Source organism: Homo sapiens, chromosome 19 (genome assembly GCF_000001405.40).
Source record: "Homo sapiens chromosome 19, GRCh38.p14 Primary Assembly".
NCBI lineage: Eukaryota > Metazoa > Chordata > Mammalia > Primates > Hominidae > Homo > Homo sapiens.
This window is the reverse complement of record NC_000019.10, coordinates 8,721,398-8,732,451: the sequence shown is the minus strand read 5'-3', so window position 1 is coordinate 8,732,451 and position 11,054 is coordinate 8,721,398. Positions and strand designations below refer to the sequence as shown.

At 47.0% G+C, this 11,054-nt stretch overlaps 1 protein-coding gene and 1 pseudogene across 1 annotated transcript; one reads left to right on the top strand and one right to left on the bottom strand.

Annotated features, from left to right (window-relative positions):
* On the bottom strand, window positions 292-10,818 carry OR2Z1 (olfactory receptor family 2 subfamily Z member 1). Its single transcript, NM_001004699.3, has 3 exons — window positions 10,410-10,818; window positions 9,302-9,346; window positions 292-1,592 (listed from the first exon to the last, which is right to left on the bottom strand). Exon 3 carries the CDS (start codon window positions 1,421-1,423, stop codon window positions 479-481), a length of 945 nt encoding a protein of 314 aa, NP_001004699.1. The 5' UTR covers window positions 1,424-1,592; window positions 9,302-9,346; window positions 10,410-10,818; the 3' UTR covers window positions 292-478.
* On the top strand, window positions 3,229-3,766 carry RPL23AP78 (ribosomal protein L23a pseudogene 78; annotated as a pseudogene).
* Window positions 10,819-11,054: the final 236 nt, after the last annotated feature.

The window sequence follows — 11,054 nt, the reverse complement described above, 5'->3', positions numbered from 1 at the left end:
AGGACCCCTTGAGCCTAGGAGTTCTAGTCTGCGGTGAGCTATGACCATGTCACAGCATTCCAGCCTGGGCGACAGAGTGAGACCCCGTTACAAAAAGAAAAAAAAGAGAGAGAAAAAAAATATGCTGAATGTGATTGGGATGATTACCATTGCTTTCCACAAGTCCATGAGGGAAAACATGAACCCAGCTAGTCATCAGCAGGGAGGAACTCGGCGTGAGCAGGGAGGAACTGGGCAGACACTTAGCCTTGGACATAAGCACTTAGCAGCTGAATTTTACACTTCAAAGTGGCTCATTTTATGTTACGTGTATTCTACCTCAATTTAAAAGGCAGACATTTTCTCAAAAAGTTGCACCTTGGGCAATGGCTGGATATTTGGCCAGTTGCACAAATTGGCAATTGAATGCCAAATGCATACTTTGGGAAGGTGGGTGGGATCGAGGACCGCTGGAATCTCACCAGCAGTTTCTATGTAGTCAGCACATTTGCCTGAGTCCAGCTCTGCTAAGCACTTTGACCAAAGCCATCCACACCTCCGGATTCCTCAGACTGTAGATAAGGGGGTTGAGTGTAGGGGTGACAAGGCTATAGAAGAGGGAAACCACGTTATCCTGCTGTGGACTGTGGTAGGCGCAAGGCACCATGTACATGAACACGGCGGCACCATAAAAGAGCCCCACTACCGTGATGTGCGAGGAGCAGGTGGTGACAGCCTTGTGTCTGGCCTCCTCTGAGCGCATGCTTAGAACAGCCTGCAACACGTGGCCGTAGGAGGTGGCGATGAGGGAAAGAGGGAGCATTAGGATCAGCACCCCTGAGGTGGACAGCGCCATCTCGTAGGCACAGGTATCTGCACAGGAGAGCTTCAGTAGGGCTGGCACCTCACAGAAGAAGTGATCCACAATACGGGAGGCACAGTAGGGAAAATGCAGGGTGATGGAGGTCTGGATGGAGGCGTTGAGCACACCTACCACCCAGGAGGAGCCCATCATCAGCAGACATACCTGGCGTCTCATAAGTACAGGATACTGCAGGGGCTGGCACACAGCAACATAACGGTCATAAGACATGAGGACCAACAGGACGCCCTCAGCCACACCCATCAGTGTGAGGAAGAATATTTGAGCTGCACCACCTCCATAGGAGGTGGCACCTTCTCCCCGCAGAAAGTCTGATGCCATCTTGGGGATGGTGACCATGGGACAGCCAATGTCAAACAGGGAGAGCTGGCTGAGCAGGAAGTACATGGGTGTGTGGAGCCGGGAGTCCACACGGATCAAGAAGAGAAGAACGGTGTTGCCCAGAAGGCCTATGACAAACATGACAGCCACCAGGGAGAAGAGGAGCTGGCGTGATCCTGAGTGACTGAAGAGGCCCACCAGAATGAAGTCTGAGGCCACCGACTGATTCACATCCCCCATGTTTTACACAATGCACTTTAGCTGCAGGAAGAACAGCTGAACTATGGCAAGAAGCCTGCATGGGGTGGCAAATAATTTTCATCTCACATGCCAATCATCATTGATTGGTAGTGGCTTCCTGGGATGGTGTCTTGAGAAGAGTAATGAGGCTGCAGCTAGAATCAGTAGGCTGGAGGGAGAAAACTTAATCAGTTAGTGTCTATCCAAGGCATGGGATGGGAAAGAAGCAGCTGGCATCTCTGAATGAGACGCTTGGCCACACTCCAATGAAGAGCTACCCACTGCTCCCTATAGTGAAAAATTTGAGGTTCGGCTGGACGTGGTGCCTCACGCCTGTAATCCCAGCACTTTGGGAGGCCGAGACAGGTGGATCACGAGGTCAGGAGTTCGAGACCAGCCTGACCAATATGGTGAAACCTCGTCTCTACTAAAAGTACAAAAATCAGCTGGGTGTGGTGGCACTCGCCTGTAATCCCAGCTACTTAGGAGGCTGACACAGGAGAATTGCTTGAACCCGGGTGGTGGAGGTTGCAGTGAGCCGAGATCATGCCACTGCACTCCAGCCTGGGCAACAGAGCGAGACTCCATCTCAAAAAAAAAAATGCGGTTCAAGTTAAAGACAGCCACATAGATGGTGGAATGCTTCAATACCCCTCATCCCAGGGGTCCTTAACCAAAGCTGAGGTCAGATACCAAAAGGGCTGGGAGGTGAAACGGGATGATGAAACTGAAGCAACAAGCTAAGTAAGAAAACAGAGAGAAGGGCTTGCTTGGGTCTAAATGCGTGGATGAGAATCTGAAGCAAAGAGAAATCTGTGATGAGCCAGCACTGGAATCAAATTGAGGGAATGCCCAAGGAAAATAAATCATTCTACCAAATGAGCATGTTTATCACAGCACTATTCACAATAACAAAGAAATTGAATCAACCGGGGTGCCTATCAGTGGTGGACTGGATTTTTTTAAATGTAGTATATAGACACCATGGATTGCTATGCAGCCATAAAAAAGAATACAATTGGCTGGGCACAGTGGCTCATGCCTGTAATCCTAGCACCTTAAGAAGCCAAGACAGGAGGATCACTTCAGCCCAGGAGTTCAAGACCAGCCTGGGTGACATGACAAGACCCCATCTTGGAGCCCGGGGATGGTGGCTCATGGCTATAATCCCAGCACTTTGAGAGGCCGAGGCGGGTGGATCACCTGAGGTCAGGAGTTCGAGACCAGCCTGACCAACATGGAGAAACCCCATCTCTACTAAAAATACAAAATTAGCTGAGCGTGGTGGCATATGCCTGTAATCCCATCTATTCGGGAGGCTGAGGCAGAAGAATCGCTTGAACCCAGGAGGCGGAGGTTGCAGTGAGCCGAGATCGCACCATTGCACTCTGGCCTGGGCAACAAGAGCAAAACTCCGTCAAAAAAAAAAAAACCATCTCTACAAAAAATTTAAAGTTCGACTTGGTGGTGACTGCCTGTAGTCTCAGCTACTGGGGAGGCTACGGCAGGAGGATCACTTGAGCCTGGGAGGTCGAGGCTGCAGTGAGCTATGATCACATCACTGCACTCCAGCCTGGGCCACCGAGCAAGACCTTGTCTTAGAAAAAAAAAAAAAAACCTGTTCATTGCAGTGACATGGACGCAACTGGAGCCCATTATCCTAAGTGAATTAAGGCAGAAACAAAACCAAATACCACATGTTCTCACTTATCAGTGGAAGCTAATCACTGGGTACGCAGGAATATAAATAGGGGAACAGCAGACACTGGGGACTTCAGAGGGAAGCAAGGGTTAAAAAACTACCTATTGGGCCCTTTTCACAAGATGGCGCCGAAAGCAAATAAGGAAGCTCCTGCCCCTCCTAAAGCCGAAGCCAAAGTGAAGGCTTTAAAGGCCAAGAAGGCAGTGTTGAAAGGTGTCCACAGCCACTAAAAAAAAGATCCCACATGTCACCCACCTTCCAGCAGCCCAAGACACTGTGACTCCGGAGGCAGCCCAAATATCCTCGAAAGAGCACCCCCAGGAGAAACAAGCTTGGCCACTCTGCAATCATCACGTTGCCGCTGACCACTGAGTCCACCATCAAGAAGATAGAAGACAATGACACACTTTCGTTCATTGTGGACATTGAAGCCAACAAGCACCAGATCAAACAGCATGTGAAGTAGCTCTATGACATGGATGTGGCCAAGGTCAACACCCTGATTCAGCCTGATGAAGAGAAGAAGGCATATGTTCGACTGGCTCCTGATTATGATGCTTTGGATGTTGCCAACAAAATTGGGATCATCTAAACTGAGTCCAGCTGGCTAATTCTAAATATATGTATATCTTTTCACCATAAAAAAAAAACTACCTATTGGGTACTATGTTCGCAATTTGGGTGACAGTTTCAATTGAAACCCAAATCAGCATCATGCAATATATCCATGTAACACACCTTGCATATGTACCCCCAAACGTATTTAACAGAAGAAAAACATTTAGGGTATAAATCTAAAGAAAGGAAACCATAGAGGCACAATGACAGCAGGAGGGGGTTGAATGGCCTGGGGAGGGGCAGTTGCTGCTGAGCTCAGCTATTACTGGTGGCTTCACTGCATTGGATGGGAGAGCAGCGGCCTGTGGGTAGTCTGACTCAATTTCAAGGACTACTATGAGACACTAGCTCTAGAAGATTTTATGTCCCTAAGTATTGCCTGAGTGAATGAGGTGAACAAGAAGGATGGCCAAGAACCAGGAAGAGCTGCACACTTAAATCAGGAATACTTCCTCTCTTCGGCAACCTCCAAGCTCCCAGACAAAGCCAGATTATTCTGAAAGACCATGCAGTGCCCACAACTCCAGCAATGGAAAATGCAGGACCTGGTGAATGTTCTTTCCCAACTGTGGATGGTTAAGAAGCATGCTAAAAAGGAAAAGAAAAAGCAAAGAGGACAGGAGTGGTTCTCTCAGAGAAATGGTCTGAGCTAGCACTTTTGCTTTACGCCAGTATTTATCCACTTTGGGCTATATGACCAGGGCTGTTTTATTATTCGTATGTTTTATAAAATAAGATTCTATTTCTCATTCCTGCTCAAGGTGAGTGGAAGATAGCATCCTCATCCCTGCTCAACCCAATTGAGGTGTTTTCTTTTTGTTTGGTTTGGTTTTGTTTTGGTTGAGACAGAGTCTTGCTCTGTGACCCAGGCGGGAGTACAGTGGCGTGATCCTGGCTCACTGCAACTTCCGCCTCCCCGGTTCAAGCAATTCTCCTGCCTCAGCCTCCCAAGTAGCTTGGATTACAGGCACATGCCATCACAATCAGCTAATTTTTGTATTTTTAGTAGAGACAGGGTTTCACCATGTTGGCCAGGCTGGTCTCAAACTCCTGACCTCAAGTGATCAGCTCGCCTTGGCCTCCCAAAGTGCTGGGATTACAGGCGTGAGCCACTGTGCCCGTCCTCAACTGAGTTGTTTTTTTTTATTATTATTATTATACTTTAAGTTTTAGGGTACATGTGCACAACGTGCAGGTTTGTTACATATGTATACATGCGCCATGTTGGTGTGCTGCACCCATTAACTCGTCTGAGTTTTTATTGAATTGTTTTCTAAGGAGTCAGAGTGAGTTATGAATAAAACACATCTTCAGGGCAAAACAAATAGAGCTGATTCCCAGCATGCCAGACAGCCAGGAAGAGTTTTCAACAGAGGTGACCAGGGGCTGAGGAAGAGTGTCTCTCAGACAACACAAAAAGCTGCCCAAAGTGGCTGCTTCATGGCATTACTAAGAGTGCAATGGAGGCCGGCTGCACTGACTCACGTCTGTAATCCCAGCACTTTGGGAGGCTGCAGTGGGAAGATCGCTTGCACCCAGGAGTTTGAGACCAGCCTGGGCAACATAGGGTGCCTCCATCTCTACAAAAAAATTACAAAAGTTAGCTGGGCGGGGTGATACAAGCCTGTCATCCCAGGTACTTGGGAGACTGAGGCAAGAGGATTGCTTGAGCCCAGCAGGCTGAGGCTGCATGATCACCCCATTGTACTTCAGCCTGGGAGACTGAGCGAGACCCTGTTTCAAAAGGAAAATGGAATTTTAAGAAAAAGATAAATAAATAAAAGAGTGCATGGGGTTAAATTTAAAAAAAAAGAAAAAAGCAGCAAGACTGATCATTTAAGAGCAAGTAGATTCTACTGAAGGCCTCCCTGGAGCTCTTTGTCATGAGGCTGCCTGTGGAATTATTCCTCACTCAGATGATGGCCTGCAAGGCTGTCTTTAGTTATACGCCATCCTGATTTTTCTCATTCCATCCAAGCTCCTCTCTACCATTCATCCATGCATTCAACAAAATGTGTCATGCCCTAGAATGGGCATAAAACATTCAGAGGTGAATCATCCAGGCAAGATCCCCGGTTCTCTGGACTCCACCATCTCCATCAGGAGACCAATGACCAACAAGAAGATAAATGCACAAGACCTTTGTGATAGGGGGAAGTGCAGGGGTGAAGTGGTCAGGATGCCCTGTAGGTAATAGCTAAGGACACTACAAGACGTGGTCAGGGAAGCCTCTTGAGACAGGTGAGAGCTGCCTGGTATGGTTTGGACCTGTGTCCCCACCCACATCTCATGTTGAATTGTAATCCTTAATGTTGGAGGTGGGGCCTGCTGGGAGGTGATTGGATCATGGAGGTGGCTTCTCATGAATGGTTTAGTACCATCCCCCTTGGTCATGATAGTGAGTGAGTTCTTGCGAGATCTGGTCATTAAAAGTGTGTAGCACCAGCCAGGCATGATGGCTCACAACTGTAGTCCCAGCACTTTGGGAGGCCAAGGCGGGCCGATCACGAGGTCAGGAGTTTGCAACCAGCCTGGTCAACACGGTGAAACCCTGTCTCTACTAAAAATACAAAAAATTAGCCAGGTGTGGTGGCAGGTGACTGTAATCCCAGCTACTCGGGAGGCTGAGGCAGGAGAATCACTTGAACCCAGGAGGCGGAGGCTGCAGTGAGCCGAGACCGTGCCACTGCATTCCAGCCTGGGCACAGAGTGAGACTCCGTCTCCTCCACCCACCAAAAAAAAGTGTGTAGCACCTCCCTCTGCCTCTACTCCTGCCATGTAAGACATCTGCTTCTCCCTCATCTTCCACCATGATTGTAAGTTCCCTGAGACCTCCCCAGAAGCAGAAGTCATTATACGTCCTGTACAGCCTACAGAACCATCGCCAGTGAAACATATTTTCTTTATAAATTACCCAATCATCTCAGATAGTTCTTTAAAGCAATGCAAGAATAGACTAATACACTGACCTTGCTATCTGATGACCTTCATGAGGGGAAGAGTAGAATTGCCTGCTTTATACTACTGGAAGGTGGATGTTAATGAGGGCAGCTGTGTGGTTCAACCTAGCAAAGAACTTTCTAACAGTGAAATCTAACCAAAAATGGAATGGAGTGCCTCATTGGTAGCATTTTTCCAGAGTCAATCAAAGATGTATGGGAGTTTGGCTGGGCGTAGTGGCTCACGCCTGTAATCCCAATGCTTTGGGAGGCTGAGGCGGGCAGATCATTTGAGGATGGGAGTTCAAGACCAGCCCAGCCAACAAGGTGAAACCCTGTCTCTACAAAAAATACAAAAATTAGCCAGGTGTGGTGGCGGGCACCTGTAATCCCAGCTACTCAGAAGGCTGAGGCAGGAGAATTGCTTAAACCCAGGAGGCAGAGGTTGCAGTGAGCCGAGATCATTCCACTGTATTCCGGCCTGGACAACAGAGCGAGACTCCAACACAAAAAAAATTAAAAGAAAAACAAAGATGTATGGGAGTTAGACAATTTAGCCCTGCAGTTATAGAATTTAGAGTTAGAGTTTGACAGGGAACATGAGCATTGTTGAACTCATTTCAGCATAGTCTGATGAGCAATTTAATAAAAATACATGCATGATGATTTTTGGTACCCAGGAGATGAAACTCTGCCTGGGATGGGATCTGGGAAGCCTTCACAGAGAAGGAGGCATTGGAGCTGAGTTTTGAAGGTCAGGTAGGAATTTTCCAGAGAGCTAGAAGAGGGAAGGTTGTTCCAGACAGAAATAATACAGTATCTGGACTCTATGGACTGGTGGTTAAGAAAATGCACCCAGGAGTAAGACATAAAATAGGCTTGCAGGCAGAAGCCCAGGCAATAGTTTTCACACCCACTCCTCCAGCTGTGTTTTGGAAGCAAGGAGAGCTTTCTGAGAGCTGGGCAGCTCCTCTAAGCCTATCACCTCCTACCCAAGGACACACTTTTTGTACCCCATTCTCAGTAATGAAGAGAAGTCTGTCGGTGGATAATTGAAGGTGGTCGAGCATCTGTCTTTCATCAACCCCTGAGCCCCGAAAATGGAAAAAATGAAAGAATGAAATGCAAATCTAAGTTTTTGGGAAGAGAAGTGAGGATGGTGGGAATGGAGGTGGCTGGGGAAGCTGTTATAGAAATATTCAGCAAGCCCTTGATGACAATGACAATAACAATAACCACACTATTAGGCTGGGTGTGGTGTTTCACATCTGTAATCTCAGCACTTTGGGAGGCTGGGACCAGCCCAGGAGTTTGGGACTAGCCTGAGCAACATGGCAAGATCCCGACTCTACAAGAAATAGAAAAATTAGCCAGGCATGGTGGCACATGCTTATAGTCCCGGCTACTTGGGAGGCTAAGGTGGGAGGCTCACTTGAGCCCAGGAGGTGGAAGCTGCAGTGAGCTGTGATCACACCACTGCACTCCAGCCTGGGCAACAGAACACAGAGTGAGACCCTCTCTCAATTAAAAAAAAATGACCATAGGTATTAATACCTCTATGAATTTTGGGGATGAGAAGACAGAGATCTGAGAAGTGCAGTGCCTTGTCCAGGATGAACCAGCAAGAAGGTAACCAAGTCAAGATTCTAACAAAATGAGATTTAATTCCAAAGTCCTTGTTCTTGCATCGGCATTTCACACATCTCCAAACACTGTAATAGATATTCAAGATTTGCTTCACACACACACACACACATACACACACACACACACACACACACACACACACACACACACACAAACAGACTCCCCTTCACCACTAAGTTATGATTTCTGGCTAATGGGTGATCATGTCCCACCCTGGTCTGGTAGAGAAGCCACACTTGCCAACCCTCAGGGCCAATGGTCCACCCTAGAACTGTTCTAGGACTGGCATTTCCCCTGGTTTCAGGCATTGTGGCCCTTTGGGATGGTGGGGAAGGCTTCTGCACCAACAACTCTGCAGGACCTGCCTTGAAACTGCAGAGCACTCTTGGGAAGAAACCACACAGGTTGACATTTGGGTCTAGAACAGTGTCATCGCCCCACCACTGGTTTCTGTAATTCTTCTTCTGTTTTCACAGACCCTTATCTGGTGACACACACACACACACACGCACTGTATGTGTAAAATCCAACCAAAAATGAAATGGAGTGCCTCATTGGTGGCATTTTCCAGAGTCAACCAAAGATGTACGGGAGTCAGATAATTTAGCCCTGCAGTTATAGAATTTAGAGTTTGAGAGAGAACATGAACATTGTGCAACTCATTTCAGCATAGTCTGATGAGCAATGTAATAAAAATACATGCATGATGATTTGGGTACCCAGGGGATGAAACTCTGCCTGGGATGGGATCAGGGAAGGCTTCACAGAGAAGGAGGCATGGAAGTTTTGAAGGTCAGGTAGAGGAGGGAAGGTTTCCAGAGAGCTAGAGGAGGGAAGTTTATTCCAGGCAGAAGTAATAGAGCATCCGGACTGTATGGACTGGTGGATAACAGAATCCACCCAAGAGTAAGACATAAAACATGATTGCAGGCAGAAACCCAGGCAACACTCCTGTGTGCCCCCAAACTCACCTTTCCTTTCAGGGTGCCCAGGTGGTCCCACTGTCTTTGATGCATCTGAAAAAAATAAAAACCCCTGGTTTTGGGGATCTCTAGCAGTTCCTCTAATTCCATTGTAATGCCTTTGTGTCCTGAGCTTTTTTTGGTAGAGGGAACAGAGCCTCACTCTGTCACCCAGGCTGGAGTACAGTAGCACAATCATAGCTCACTGCAGCCTTCAACTCCTGGGCTCAAGCCATCTTCTTGCCTCAGCCTCCCGAGTAGCTGGGACTCCAGGTGTGCACCACCACACCTGACTAATTTTTATTTTTTAATTTTTTTGTAGAGATGCGGTCTTGCTATGTTTCCCAGGCTGGTCCCTTAATCCCAGTTTTAAATAATACCTCCCCATCTTGGCCTCACAAAGTGCTGGGATTATGTCCTGAGCTTTTGGCACACTGTTTCCCACTGAAATCTCTTTCAGAAAAAAATGTTCCACCCATCCAACCTCTCTCACCTGCTGCCCCACAGTCAGACAGGCAGAGCTGGAAAAAGTAGCCATGACTTACTCTAATCTGGGCTGGAACATCTCACAGTGATTCCTAAATCAGTCCTTCTTTGGGTGGGAGGAGAGTCCCTTTGAAAAGTTTTAAAGTTGTGGTTTTACCTGTCCCTTTCCCGTTTTCCTCAGGGATGCCAAAATGTGGGTCTAGAGTGGTCCCTTTGCTGACACTGAGTGACCAGAAGAAAGGAGCTACATTATTTATCTTCTTGTTGCCAATAAAACTCACATCAGTCCGTTATGACCAGGCATGATCTGGACTCTTGGTCACTTTAGTAGCCAAATGATCACATGACAGTTTGCAGGACAAACTGTCACTTATATTATTTATTAAATTCTCACATTCTCTTATATTATATTCACTTATATTATTTAATTTAATATATAATATAATTTACTTAATAAAATAATTTAATTCACTTATATTATTTATTTATTTCTCACATTCTCACATCTCAAGGATCCACAGCAGAGCCTGCTCAGTAAATAGTTGTTAAATGAATACGTCCTGCAAGGGAAATAATGATTGTTGGAACTAAAGTTAAAGACAAATGGACTCAGAGAGGGTAAGTGACTTACCTAAAGTCACACAGCTAAGAAGAGGGTAGACTGGGATTTGAACCCAGTTTGATTTCAGATCCTGAGCTGTCTCTATTCTGGACACTGTCTCTTTCTTGGACTTAACACTCAACTCATCTTCCCTGGAATTCTGAGCTGAGAATTCCTCCAGAGCATCACTGTTGTAGGATGGTCACAGTCTCCAGAAAGTGAGCTGAAGGTGCTTCCAGCCCATGCCAGATGGGTTGTTCTAGTCCCGGCCCCATGGCCAAGGTGAGGTGCCCACCCCTTGCTGCTTCCAGCACATTTTATGGAAGGTTTGGAATGAACGTCAACATGGGTGACCTTCTGCTATCTAGAGGTCCAGCCTGCTTGGATTCACAGCAGCAATAACAGACAAGGTAAGATGCATCCAGCGTGCAGGTTGGCAAATGTCCAAGAGGTAGACAAAAATTCATCTTTCCATCCAAATACCTGTACAAGCTCAACCCAATGAGCTTGTGAAACACAATACCAGCAGTTCTGGGGGCCCATCTTGCCACTAATACTAGTCTCTAAATTATGCCCAGACCCCCAAGATCTCCACAAGGCTGGGTTCCAAACTCTCACCCCCAGTCACCAAGGTCTGTGTGCAGACAGAGTGATGGATCCCTCTCAATGCCCCAT